Genomic DNA, 14,990 nt, shown 5'->3' with positions numbered 1-14,990 from the left:
TCCCCTCCATTGATCACATGGTTTTACTTGGCTTGATAGGAAAGCCACAAAATGTAACTTTTTATAGATGCTGACACACAGGATACCAAAATGACAAGCCAGGATGAGGACAGAGGCACTAGTTTGGCGAGGTGCAAAAGTTAATTTTCCTGGCAGAGTCATTTCTAGTGTTAGAAGTGTGTGTGGTGTTACCTGGGTTTCCATGAGAAGTAAAACTGTTATGGGTCAATGGGCTAGAGAGTAAATCCAAATTCAATTTATTTTCCTTTCCAGCTTTTCATCTGTCACCAGGCTCCTGTGAGTTGGGGGAATCAGATCTGGAAAAGTGTTCTCTAGGAAGAAAGTGTTTATTGAAAGCTATGATCCCACCACATACAATTGGGTCTCAAACTCTGTTGAGTCTGCTTCCTAGATATTTTTCATATCTTTCCAATGCATGTTCTCTTTACCATTACTGCCACTACCCTACATCAATCATAATCATGTTTAGTCCAACACAATACCCTCTTACACTTTCTACACACAGATGTAGCCCAGAGGGATCCTTTAAAAATACAAATCTAACTATGCCATTCTCCTGTTTACTGAGGGCTTCCTGTCCACTGAGGGCTTCTTACCATTTTAGGATAAATTCAAAGTCCATAACAAGTCCTCCAAGATCTCTGATCTTCAGTATCATTAAATATCTTTTTCCCCTTTACTCACCAGCCAGCCTTCAGTTCTTCACATGTATAAAGCTCTTTCCTGCCTCAGGGCTTTTGTATGTGCTGTTCCCTTGGCCTGATATGACTTTCCTTAGGGTTTCTGTCTCATTACCTCCTTATTCTGAATAGCCCAATATGTATGTCACTTCTTTAGAGAAGCCTTAACTGATAACTCTATCTTCCCTGTCTAAATCAGGAGTCCCTTAAAAACATTTATATATTAAATATTTTGTGTTGGTTCTCCTCTTATCCCACTCTAAGCTTTGTAAGGGTAAGAAATAGGTCTGTTTATTTTGTTATGTATCTCCAGTTCTTCACATGATCTTAGCACATAATAGATGCTCATTAAGTACTTATTGAATAAGTGAATGCATCTATCAATTCTGGAACAATCTGGATCAAGAATGAGGATGTGAGCAAGGGATTTGGTATTTATTTAAAAATCCCTATAGTAGTATAGGGGATGATAGTAAATGACATGCTAGTTCTAGTACATGTCTTGAATTCAACAGAGCATGTTGTGGGAAGCCAGGGACCCCACACAGAGGGACCAGCTGGAACCACAGCAGAGGAACATAAGTTGTTAAGATTTCATGGACATTTATCAGTTCCAAAATAATACTTTTATAATTGCTTACGCCTGTAATCTCTTAATCCTGTTATCTTCATAAGCTGAGGATGTATGTCACCTCAGGACCACTGTCATAATTGTGTTAACTGTACAAATTGATTGTAAAACATGTGTTTAAACAATATGAAATCAGTGCACCTTGAAAAAGAACAGAACAACCATGATTTTTAGGGAACAAGGGAAGACAACCACAAGGTCTGACTACCTGTGGGGTCAGGCAAAAAGAGCCATATTTTTCTTCTTGCAGGGAGCCTATAAATGGACGCGCAAGAAGGAGACATATTGCAAAATTCTCTTCCAAGCAAGGAATATTAATATTAATACCCAGGGAAAGGAATGCATTCCTGGGGGGAGGTCAATAAATGGCCACTCTGGGAGTGTCTGTCTTGTGTGATTGAGATAAGGACTGAGATAAGCCCTGGTCTCCTGCAGTACCCTCAGGCTTACTAGGATGGGGAAAAACTCTGCCCTGGTAAATTTGTGGTCAGACCGGTTCTCTGCTCTCGAACCCTGTTTTCTGTTATTTAAGGTGTTTATCAAGACAATATGTGCACCGCTGAACATAGACCCTTATCAGTGGTTCTGTTTTTGCCCTTTGCCCTGTGATCTTTGTTGGACTCTTATCAGTATAGTTCTGCTTTTGCCCTTTGTCCTGTTCCCTCAGAAGCATGTGATCTTTGTTAGATCCTTAGTAGTAGTTCTGCTTTTTGCCCTTTGAAGCATGTGATCTTTATACCTACTCCCTGTTCTCACACCCCCTCCCCTTTTGAAACCCTTCATAAAAACTTGCTGGTTTTGAGGCTCAGGCAGGCATCACAGTCCTACTGATATGTGATGTCACCCCCAGCAGCCCAGCTGTAAAATTCCTCTTTTTATACTGTCTATCTTTATTTCTCAGCCTGCTGACACTTATGGAAAATAGAAAGAACCTATGTTGAAATTTTGGGGGTGGGTTCCTCCGATAAGAGCAGGAATAGTATAATGACCATAATGTAATCTACTCCTTAAAACAGACTTCGGCAATCTGGTATTTGATGTATTTACCTCTAAGACACTGAACACATTTGAGAGGTTCTGGCAGTTGCCTGTAATAGGGAGTCTAATCAGATTTTTGAAACAAAAATGCCACTTGTGGTTCTTTCACTCTTTATATCATCCCAGTGATTCCTACTCTCTTGCATCTTGAGGGTAGAATTTTGCCTGCTTGCATTCTCTGATTCAGTACAGAATACATATTCTCTCCTGAAGGGCTATATTTTCAGCTACATATAGCCCATCTGTCTATCACAGCCTGATAGGGAGATATTTAGAACTTACCAAAAGGGGCACCCACATGTTTAGCTGGTAAGTGCAGTTTCCTCACCATTGTTAGTCCTGCATCTAAATGTATTCATCTTTCAGCTATCTTCAGGCTCCGCTAAAATCCTCTTTATTTCCAAATGAGTCATAGTCTCCCTTTAGCCAAAGTAGGAATAAGTCTGGCATCTATTTGTGTATTACAGAAATTTTAACTAAGTGATTTTTCTGTGTCAGGTGATGTTCTTGGCACAGAATAAAAAAAAAAGACATCATAGATAAACACAGGGGCTAACAGCTTCATGAGGTTGCTTATGTCAACACACCTGGCTAGCCTTCCTTTGTTTCTCTCTCCTCCCCCACTTTCCTCTTCCAAGAAGAGTCAGACTTTCTCATGCACCTGTGGGCTTTCCTTAAAAAGAGAAAAGTTTACTGCAGAATTCATTCTCTGAGGCTACAGTCGCCACTTGTCCTATTTGGACAGACGGCTTTTTCCTTGGCAGGCAACCCACATGGAGGAGTCTCTAGCCTGAAGAATTTCGAATGACAGACTTGACAGATCAGTGTGAGGCCTGTGAAGTGTCTTGGGGCTAAATAGGAGGCAACACTAAAGTTGCCATGCCATAGTGGTAGGGAATCAGACTCAGGGATTCCAGGGGTAGGAGTCCAGAGATGCCCCTTAGCTCCAAGTGGACCAGAGTGCTGTCTCAGCATGGCTCAGTCATACACCATCTCCCAAGTCCAAGGCCAGGAAAATGGAGTCTGTGGCCAAAGCTCCTGGAATACTACAGATAGGTCCCTTTAAAATCAGAACTAGAAAGAAGAATAGAAGGATAACATGACTCACTCTACCAACTTATGTTCTTAGAAATGCTATCTGGTAGCCAGATACATTGTGACAAGAAATGGGTAATGTAAAAGCAATTTAGACTGCCAGCATTTTTCAGCATGTCTTATGATGAACAATAAAATAAAATGAATCCCTCATTGTTTCTTTTTAAAAAATCCTAAAATATGTTTAGAAAAAGAAAAATCATTCTGAAATTGCGTGACATTACAGGTAGGTAGCTTATACAGGATTGGAGAGCCCAGAGCTTACAAATTATTCCTTCTCACTGTTTCCTTTTCTTCCAGCAGCATCCCTTAAACCAGATAAGTAGGTTTATTACACTGAAAACCCATGAAAAGATGTGGACTCGGTTCAAAGGCATATCTTGATGTAGTGGAAAGAATGAAATTTGGAGTTGGGCAGACCTGGGTTTTGATATTACTGCTGACATATATCGTACTCCTTTGGCTTTGTCACAGCTTCACTGGGCTCAGTGTTTTGAAAACAGACAGATTATGTTTGTGAAATTTCTTTGGTTCCCTCTCCTAACTGTAGTCAGATATCACCCAGAAGATGTGTATGACATTGTATGTGCATAGGTAAGCTTAGGCCAGAATGAGATGGGGGATTATGAAAAATTTTAGCAGAGGTAACTTTTGTTCTTAAAAACTACTATCTAACTTTTTATTGACAACTCAGAAGTATCTATGGGTAGGCTGAAGGTAGAGGGAGCGTGCTAGGGATCCAGAATGTTTCTGAGTATCTTAATAATTTAAAGAATTTTATTTGCCTAAACACTCACATATTCTCACACACACCTGTGAAGCTATCCCTCAGTCATGCCCCTATTAGAATTTATTTCAGCAGACGTGGAACTGAACAGTGTAAACACTTGAGTTCACTTCATCATGACTCTTCAAATACCTTTGTCCTGTGGATAAAGCTTAAGACAAAAGACATGAGCCAGAATACATTTTGTGATAACTTTTTCTTCTCTTTAGAAAAAAAAAATATGTACAAAAAAAGCTGAGAAGAGCCAACATGGAAGTGTCAAGAAAACATTCTGATAGGTACGGACAAAAGAGCTCCTTCAATCAAAGGAGTTACATATTAGTTCTCACCATGCTAGAAAAATGAGATGCAGTTAAAATTCTAGAATAATTAAAAGCCACAAAGTGAAACTGTTGTTCTGGGGCCCTATGTTGTAGATTCTCTGATTCCTTTTCTGTAAAATAATACTGTGCAAACTGTAAAATATTCATTTTCATATAAAGTCCATATAATATGAGATACAAAACTGTTGAGTTGACAGGGGAGGCTGATGTTGGCTGCTTTTTGGAGAAAAGCTGACAGTGGCACCTGCCTGCCAGAAGACATTCCAGAAAGATCTTGAGTTATTTAGTAGAGGCCATTATCTAAGAAAGAATCATATAACCCCAATACCCTCCAAATCCAGAATTCTCTGACAATTGTTTGTATAACTAGGTGACTTTGTTAATATATCACTTTAAACTTTGAACGTAACAATTTGTTAAGAGATCAGAGTGCAACATTCTTTTTGAAGACAATTTTTTTTCTACAATTGACTTTGAGATTTATTATTAACCAACATTGTCCTTCCTGCAGCTCAAAAGTTTGCCTTTTATTAAAATTCAAAAATTCTGGAGGAGGCAGCAACTGTGGTAATAAAAGTTTAAAGTGAATTGTTATATTCTGTGTTTATAAAACTGAGAAAAGAAAATTTGTGTACAAATATCACAAAACAACGTCAACCATTGAATAAATGTGGTTCTTCAATGCACGCTTGAACAAGAAAATTTTGTTGGTTTTAAAATTCTGGCATAAATATATTAAAGCTGACCAAAAAAAAAAAAAAAAAATCAGGGCAAGCTACATCACTTCCTCATACAAAAAATGTACAAAACATTAGCTTCTAACTAGATAAACGTAATATTTGTCATCACAGTTTGACATTGAGCAACTGTGTGTTTTGAAGTATAGAATTGGAAGATGATTTTAAAAAACAGCTTGTGACACATCAGTCGTCTCAGGTAACTTCGGTCATGGACGCAGAGTGATTCTGTGGAGCAAACACAAGCAGATAAAATCTGAGATAGGGTTGCCTGACACGTGCACACTCACTTGTCCCTAAATATTCCCTTGTTTTGTCTCCTCAAGGGTACACAGGCTGTTCCGTCCCCCTAATATGCTTTTCCAAGGCCCCTGAATTTCCCTTACCTCTTTGGTTTTTTTATTTTATTTTTTGAGACGGAGTTTCACAATTGTTGCCCAGGCTGGAGTGCAATGGTGCAATCTCAGCTTACTGCAACCTCTCCCTCCTGGGTTCAAGCAATTCTCCTGCCTCAGCCTCCCAAGTAGCTGGGATTACAGGCATGCACCACCATGCCCGGCTAATTTTGTAGTTTTAGTAGAGACAGAGTTTCTCCATGTTGGTCAGGCTGGTATCGAACTCCCGACCTCAGGTGATCCACCCGCCCCAGCCTCCCAAAGTGCTGGGATTATAGGCATGAGCCACCATGCCTGGCCTCCTTACCTCTTTTTATTAAAACTTCCCTGATTTTTCATCCAAAATAGGATAACTTCTTCACCCAAACTTTTTTTTTTTTTTTTTTTTGAGACAGGGTTTACTCTGTCACCCAGGCTGGAGTACAGCCTTGATCTGCTGGGCTCAAGTGATCCTCCTATCTCAGCTTCCCGAGTAGGTAGGACACTGGGCACATGCCACCATGCCTGGTTAACTTTTAAATTTTTTGTAGAGACAGTGTCTCACTATGTTGCCCAGGCTGGTCTCGAACTCCTGGGCTCAACTGACCCTCCCACCTTGGCCTTCCGAAGTGCTGGGATTACAGGCACAAGCTACTGTGCCTAGCATCTTCACCTAAACTTATTCTCTATATAATTCTGTCTTATGCTTAAGTATTTTCTAATATAAACATTTAAGAGCCTCAAAGTAATTTAGCATCCCGCACATTTTTAATGTAATGTTTTAAATATGAAACAGCTCTAGTGTTTAAAACCTTTCTACATGTTTTATCATTAGAGTCACAAATTACATAGAAGTGAGTTTATTATTTCAAAATGTATAGAATTTTTGGGGGGTTTGTTTTTAGTTTAACTTTTTTGGCTAGAGAAAATGTGGCTTACATAATACAGATCCATTAAAATGTTTTTCTTGAGACTTGTATCATGGTCTTGTATACGATGCATTTTCATAATGTTTCATGTGTTTTGAGGAGGGTTATATATAATGCACATCAGATCAACCTTATTGATCATGTGTATCCTTACTATTTTTGTTTGCTTATTAATAAGAGAAAAGTATTACAATCTCCTGTGACTGAGGATTCATCCATTTTCCTTGTAATTATGTCAAATATTTTTGTCACTGGCTGGCTTTTAATTAGTTTTAACTATTAAGCTTTTATACATGTAATCAACTAGGTGAGGGTGGATATTTAGGTTCTTCTTTTGAGTAAAATGGGCTCTTCACTGTTTACAAGGTTATTTCTGAGTTGCAAAAATTCTCTCTCCATGTTTTCCCTGCCATTACTCCTCTATTCAATCTTGGCTGCCACAATCAGACAGAAAGCTCAAGGACACTTTTTTTCTTGCATTGGTAATATAATAGAAACTTTAGCAGCAGATAGTAACTGCTCCAGGTTCATCAAATGGAAGCATTCAATTAAAACAACAACAACAAAATATATATATATATAACCTCCCACTTCTTGCAAACCTAAAGTCTTGTCTTTTATTTGAACTTAAAACTCAATGCTTTGGGTCTATGAAATTATTAAATCTTTAACAAACTGTGGCTTTGATCTAATTATTATTATTGCTTTCCTGATTTCTGTCTTTTTTTTTTTTTTTTTTTTTTTTTTTTTTGAGATGAAGTCTTGCTGTTGTCCCCCAGGCTGGAGTGCAAAGGTACAATCTCGGCTCACTGCAACCCATGCCTCTTGGGTTCAAGCGATTGTGTTGCCTCAGCCTCCTGAGTAGCTGGGATTACAGGCGCCTGCCACCACGCCTGGCTAATTTTTGTATTTTTAGTAGAGACGGGGTTTCACCATGTTGGCCAGGCTGGTCTTGAACTCCTGACCTCAGGTGATATAAAATATATATTAAATATGTATAAGTATCTTTTAACTATATATGTATACATATATAAGTATATATACATACATAGATGAAGAAAGTAAGGCACCAGGTTTAAGTAATATGCCCAAGGTCACCAATCAAAATTAAATGATATGTATGTATGTAACATATATATATACTTATATATGTATATAAATATATATTAGTGTATATATGTATCTATATTTAATATATATTTTATATAATTATATATATTTTTCCCCCATGGGGAAGACATCTGGAGACTCTATACCACATCCAGAGTGAGTTAACACAGTTGTTTCATTTCTAATTTAATTTTTGTTATTAGAAACTGTGTGGACAAGAACTCAACTGAACAACACTCAGCTGATTGCTCATGTACATTGTGAGTGGGGCGGGGTGTAGAACATGGATAATTAAGAATTGGTTCCTTTGGGATCCCAACAACTTTATACAATCATAAAATAATGCTTTGAAAAACTTGACTATTTTTGTTTTATAATTGTTTACTTTTTGGTTTCTCTATGGTATTTGGGAAAGATTTTAGAAAATGCACCCCATCTCAATCAACTATACTAAGGGGAATCACAGAAGGTAGATATTCAAATTTGAGGTAATGTTTTAGAGAGGCCCAGAGCACTGTGGCTCTGAGGGCTGCATGTGGCAAAGGGGAAAGAATGTCTTGGGAGAAAGGGAAACGAGCGTGACTGATGCCCTCCCCATCCAGTCTTCTCCTTAAGATATTTTGAATAGTGGGATGGATTTCATGTGTACGAATGTGTGCTCTGAAGAGAGGTTCTAATCTCTGATCTGAAAAGGTCCACATGCTGGGAAGATGGTTCTGTTCCAAAAATTACAAAGATGCCGTTTCTAACAGAAACCATGGCTGTTGGAGTTGCAAGGGAAGTTCTTGCTCACAGGGGGGTATTTACTTTGGAAAAACTGTAGCTCAGGTTCAGTATACCAGCCCCCTGTAGCATGTTTTCATATTCAATGCTGGGAGTTGTGGATTTCAAAAAAGAATTTTCATTGAATGAAATCTCAGACTGTGTGGTGTAGGAGAACCAGCAGGGCCTCAGTATTGGATGGGTCTTCATTTAATTTTGACTGGGTGACCTTGGGCATATTACTTAAACCTGGTGCCTTACTTTCTTCATCTATAAAATAGGATATAATAAAACCAATACAGTATCATGAATATTAAATGAGGTGACTCTCAATAAATGCTAGTTCTCTTTTCTTGACCAACAAATAAAGGGTTTATCTTTCTAACTATCCATGTGGAAACATTTATTACTAAAAACAGATGCTTGGTGACTTGCATTTTTCACGACTGGTATGGATAGCATAATGTGAGAGGCAATACTTCTCTTTAGCTTTCTGTGGCTTCATTCTGGCTAGCCTGCAGAAGTCCTTCTCATAGTTTCTTATAAATCTCTACTTTCCGTGGATGTTCAAATAGTGATTATGGTCAAATTTGAGGTTCTTGGTTTTGGCTAAAGTGTCTACTTTAGGTTTTGGGACAAGTTTGTATTCATCCATCAATATGTATTTCACACCTAGTGGATGCCAGGATACATGGTAAATAAGACATGGTTTATAGGGTCCTCAAAAAGTCCCAAGTCTTTGGAGGAGGCAGACATGAGGGAACACTTGGCTTTACTTATGAGTGACAGTCACATGAGAGGGGTCTGGAGGGTCCTTTGGCCCAAGCCTGGTATTCGGGCAAGGCCTCAAATTGTATCCATATGAGGCGGCATCCATAATCACAAAGATCTGTTGACAGGTTTGAGAGAAGTTCAACTACTACCTGTAAACAATGAATTAATATCTATTTTAAGAATCCTTTATCTTGTGAATAGCATTTTTTGAAACCCTGTTTAGCACTTCATTTTTCAATTTAAGTAGAATCCCTCAAAATAGAGTCTGGACATCTCTAGGCCTGATCAACCATCAGTGGCCCTGAGAATTAAGAGAGAAAGAAGTCTAGGGAAGACATTAGACAGATGTCATGCTTGAGCAGTGCTGGGTGGAAGGATGAGGTGTGCAAAAGGGGTGTTCTTATATCAGGATATTCGGGGGATAGCATTTACAAGGACACAGAGACTGGTATGTCTATGGAACTCAGCAAATATTTTCTGTTTCTTTTTAAAATTCACTTGTTTTCATTTTACCACCCCAAAATAGAGACCCTCTCTGACTTCACTAAACACAGGATTGTAATTAGGGAAGAAAAGTTAGAGAGATTCTATTTCACTATTTCATTACAGGGTATCGCTATTTAGCTAATTTGATATTTAACCTGTAGCAACAGGCTGTATATAAATAAACCAGAAATATTTTTGTTAATATTTTATTTCTAGACCAAGTTAAAATGTTAGCCTTAATACAAATTAAGGGAAAACAAAACAATACTTGGTACTGTATTAATGGAGAACCTTAAATATTTTTCCTAAAATGGAGATACGGAGGTAGATTTCTTGTTCCAACCCCCCCAAGCCCCGCCCTCAAAACCTGGTTCATTAATAATATTAGATTTAATTAAAGGTAAAAAGGCATAGGATATTGAGACCAGCCTGGCCAACATGGCAAAAAACCGTCTCTACTAAAAATACAAGAAAGTAGCCAGGCGTGGTGGCGCGTGCCTGTAGTCCCAGCTACTTGGGAGGCTGAGGCGAGAGAATTGCTTGAACCCCGGAGGCGGAGGCTGCAGTGAGCCGAGATTGTGCCACTGCACTCCAGCCTGGGCGAAAGAGTGAGACTCCATCTCAGCGGGGGAAAAAAGAGCATAGGGTAGTTTGTCTTAGAGAGATGTCATAGTTAATAATCGTTAAATAGTGAAAATATTATTTTATATTGCACTGATATGAAGTACATAATAATTCCAAAGGGAACAAAGGGAAGTGATTTATCTTTTATATCTTCTATAAAAATGCTTGAGTAGGAAAATGCCAAATGCAAACAAGATTTTACGATAAACAGACTATGACAAAACATAAACACTTTAGCCGGGCTCAGCTACCCGAAAAAGATGACATGCTAATGAAAATCATATTATTAGTTGTCCCCCATCTGCTTAAAGAACTCCTACTCATCCAGCTTTCCTACTTGCTACCTATACAACCTCGGGCAGGTAATCTAACATCACTGTCTTCAGTGTTTTTTTTGTTTGTTTGTTTTTGTTTTTTTTTGAGATAGGGTCTCACTCTGTCACCCAGCCTAGAGTGCAGTGGCGCGATCACAGCACGCTGTAGTCTTAATCTCCCAGGCTCAAACACTCCTCCCACCTCAGCCTCTGGAGTAGCTGGGACTACAGGCATGCGCTACCATGCCGGGCTAATTTTTGTATTTTTTTAGTAGAGACAGGGTTTTGCCATGTTGCCCAGTCTGGTCTCAAACTCCTGGGCTCAAGCAATTCACCTGCCTTGGCCTCCCAATGTGCTGGGATTACAGGCGTGAGCCACCACGCTCGGCCTGTCTTCTGCATTCTTATCTTTACCTGTGAAATAGGAATTATAGTATCTATTCAATAGGGTGGTTGTTCAAGTAATGATATATTTGTAAAGCTCCTAGCAATTGTCCTGGGAAAAATTAAGTGCTTCATATCATCTGTCCAGGCTCCTTTCAGTTGGCAAGTCGTCTTCCTGGCTTTCCCTGTCTTCTCACATGGAGTAGATTTTTTTCCCCTTCATTTGTATTCATACAGCACTTTGTGCACCTCTGATTCAGCATGTCATATTATGACTACCTATTTATATCCACCTTTCCTGATCATCTGTGATTTATTTATTTATTTAGTAAAGATGGTGACTTGTTACATTGCCCAGGTTGGTCTTCAACTCTTGGCTTCAAGCAATCCTCCCACCTTGGCCTCCAAAAGTGCTGGGATTACAGGTGTGAGCCACCATGCCTGCTCCTTATCTATGAGTTATTTGAGGGCAAGGACTATATCAATTATTTTTTGTATCCCTGGTATGATGCAAGGTTCTGTTGTAGAGTAACAGATCAGGAGGTACTGTTGCATTGAATTTTTGTCACAAAAACAGGTCCAAAGGGACATTTAGTAGCCTTTTAAAATGTGCCTCCAACTTACATCACTGTGTGTAACACAACCTTTTTCTTTCCAAATATGATCCTAGTTATTAAGTCAAATTGCTTTTTTCCATATGATTAGTGCAAATTTCATGAATGTGATATTATATTGTAGGTCAAAGTATCCTGAAACAGCTAAGGTTTAAGTTAGACATTACTAAGAACTCTCTGAGGATTCATGATTGCCCCAACCCCCGGAATAAATATAGGAATAATTGAGGGGAAAAAGTGAAGGCTGCCTTTTGTGAGGGCCTTTACAATAAATTAATCAGATTCTCATTGATGCTGGGTAGATTAAGTGGTATTCATGGATTGATACTGACCTCCCAAAGTGTTCAGCCTGTGGGTTTGGTTTGCTAAAACTGCTTTACCATACCTGTGCACTTAAGGTTTCCAGAGGGCTTTCTATCCTTGGGAAAGCCATTAGGGGTACTCCACGGGGATCCTCAGGCTTGGGTTTGGAAGGAGATCCTTGCGTTCCTTTAAAGTTATGAACCACACACATTCCCTGCAGGATGAGGGGGAAAAAAGAATGGGGTCAGACTGCAGCCATCAATGCCTGGCATCTGTGAGGGTGGCAGGCCTTTCCCCTTGAATATCATCACCAGAGTGACCTTTTTCCTTTGAGAGAGGGGAAAGGGACTATGGGAAGTGCTGTGGAAACGTCTGTTTAATCACCAGATGACCAGTAATAATCGCTCTCCACCCCATTGGGTCTGTTTTCTCACCTGTAAAATAAGAATAGTAATACCCACTTCACAGATTTGTAATGATTAAAGACATGGTGAATGCAAACCACCTCATAATAATAGTTAAAATTTATTGAGGGCCACTATGTGTCTGGCACGACCCTGAGGATTTTATCCAATTTCACTTAACCCACCCAACAATTTCATAAGGGAGGTACTATTATCTCCAGTCTAGATAGGGGGGCACAGGGAAGTTATCTAACTTGCCCAAGGTCACACAGAGATTGAAACTCCAGAGCCCTTAAATCATATCCCTATACTATTTTGCCCCTTAAAAAGTGCCAAATGCATAGCAAGTATTCAGTCCATGTTAGCTGGTCTTTAACTCTTACCTTAGATAGTCATCTTCAGATTATGACTATTTGCTTGAGATTAGATAACTCTTGAGTTTTCTTTTATCGCTTCCATTTAAAACTTTCCCTGTAAGTTACTGCCCACTTTTCTGTTTCCTGCCAAGGTCTTTTCATAACTGACTGTTTCTACCATCTTCCCTGCTTTTTTTTTTTTGCCCAAGAAGAACCCTCCTTTTCCCTGCCTCTTTCCATACTTTCTTTGTTTCTTCATCCAGCATGTTCGAATCTTTCCTGCTACTCTTCAAACCCTGTAGCACATTGGCATGCATCCTCTCTACCTGGCTCATCTCCATCTCACTCTTACACTCAGCTTTTTTCTTTTTTCTTTTTTTTTGAGACAGAGTCTCACTCTGTCACCCAGGCTGGAGTGCAGTCGTACGATCTCGGCTCACTGCAAGCTCTGCCTCCCGGGTTCATGCCATTCTCCTGCCTCAGCCTCCCGAGTAGCTGGGACTACAGGCACCCACCAGCACGCCTGGCTACTTTTTTGTATTTTTTAGTAGAGACGGGGTTTCACCGTGTTAGCCAGGATGGTCTCGATCTCCTGACATCATGATCTGCTGGCCTCGGCCTCCCAAAGTGCTGGAATTACAGGCGTGAGCCACCGCGCCCGAGGACCCTACACTGTGCTTTAACTGGGAAGAGGGGAACCTGTAGAAACTTTGGAGTGGAGAGACCCAGGTCCCTCTGCTGGTTATTGGTTGCATGGCTATTGGGCAAGTTACTTATCTTTGAGCCTCATTTTCCTCATCTATAAAATGAGGATAGGAATATTGTTAGAGTTGCCCTGGGGGCACTTGATTAGCTGTCTATAAAGCATACAGCATGTGGTACTTGTTCAGCTAATAACTTCCTTCCCCTTCCTCCCACATTCCGCCTCATGGGAACCACAAACATAAAGCACTATTGAACATTTACAGTAGATATCCTGCCATTCTCAGTGTTTGCTCTTCTTTTTCTGTCTCCTCTCCAAGTCTCTGCTTTGGAATGCCTCCAGGCTCCTCCAGGACATCCTTCCCCTCCCATTTCCCAGCTTTGTGTGTGTCTGTGAGGTGTGTTCACATGCATGTGCCAACAGGGTGGTCTCTCTTATGCCAGAGCAATTCAACCACAGATCTGGGTCTTACGTAAAGGCCATTTGTAGGCAAACAAATTTTGACATCAATTGGGAAGTCACTTGAAAGCACTAGCAGACTGAGTAGTTACTGAGTGATGAGAAACAGGGCTGCATGTTATGGAGAGAAAACAAGTTTAACGTTGAAGCAGGATTTGTGTATGGGGCTTCAGCAAACCCCAATATCATCCCACAAAGACCCTACAAAATTGCTTGGAACAGTCAGAATGGCTCTTCCTCTCTAACTGGGGATGGCGGCTTTAGAACTGATGGTCAGCAACATTGTTTGTCTTTTCTTGAGCCAAAGTCTATTTATACACCATTGATCTCCCTTTGAAACCCTTCTCTTCCCTTCAAGTCACCTGTTTTCTTTCCTTCTTAAAAAAATTCCTCAGGAATGGTAGTAGGCGATAGGGGGAAGAGGAGTTGGTTAATCAGTACAAAAATACAGTCAGATGGAAAAAATGAGGCCTGCTCACTATAACAGTAGAGTGACAATAATTAACAATAATTTACTGTATATTTCAAAATAAATGGAATAGATTTGGAATGTTCTTAACACAAAGTAACAGTATTTGAGGTGATGGATATCCCAGTTACCCAGATTTGATCATTATACATTGTATGCTTGTATCAAAATATCACACATACCCCCGAAACATGTGTAACTTCTATGTATCCATAAAATGTTTTTAAAAGGCGTTCCTCAGGAAAGTTCCTAATGAGATATCAAGATTTTATGATGACTTCAGCACTGCTTTTCCTGCAACTTCATCCAGAGTATTTGCATTTTAGTTTTTCATCTTTCACTATAGGAAGAATGCCTGGATCCATTCAAAATACTGGCACATTTTTGTTTTATTTCTCTTCACTTTATTGCATGTTGCAGATATTTTTTTTTTTTTTAAATTGAAGCTTTTTGACAACACTGTCCAGCAAGTCTATTGGCACCATTTTTTCAACAGCACATGCTCACTTTGTGTCTGCGTCAACACTTTTTTAAAGCCATAAAGTGCTTTTAAATTAAGGTAACTGCATTGGTTTTTTTTTTTTTAGACATAATGCTATTGCACACTTAATAG

General features: G+C 39.4%; 1 protein-coding gene across 2 annotated transcripts in view; it reads right to left on the bottom strand.

Annotated features, from left to right (window-relative positions):
• Positions 1-4,429: 4,429 nt before the first annotated feature.
• PLPPR1 (phospholipid phosphatase related 1) overlaps positions 4,430-14,990 on the bottom strand; it is a 296,409-nt gene continuing 285,848 nt past the window's right edge. For both annotated transcript variants that reach the window (NM_207299.2, NM_017753.3), the window contains exons 7-8: positions 12,069-12,200; positions 4,430-5,540 (exon numbers count right to left, since the gene is read on the bottom strand). In NM_207299.2, the coding sequence (NP_997182.1) occupies positions 5,508-5,540; positions 12,069-12,200 (165 nt within the window). In that variant the 3' untranslated portion in view covers positions 4,430-5,507. The remainder of the gene's footprint in view (positions 5,541-12,068; positions 12,201-14,990) is intronic.

The sequence above is a fragment of the Homo sapiens genome, chromosome 9 (assembly GCF_000001405.40).
Source record: "Homo sapiens chromosome 9, GRCh38.p14 Primary Assembly".
NCBI lineage: Eukaryota > Metazoa > Chordata > Mammalia > Primates > Hominidae > Homo > Homo sapiens.
The sequence above is the reverse complement of the archived record's forward strand: the minus strand, read 5'-3'. Positions and strand labels throughout refer to the sequence as shown.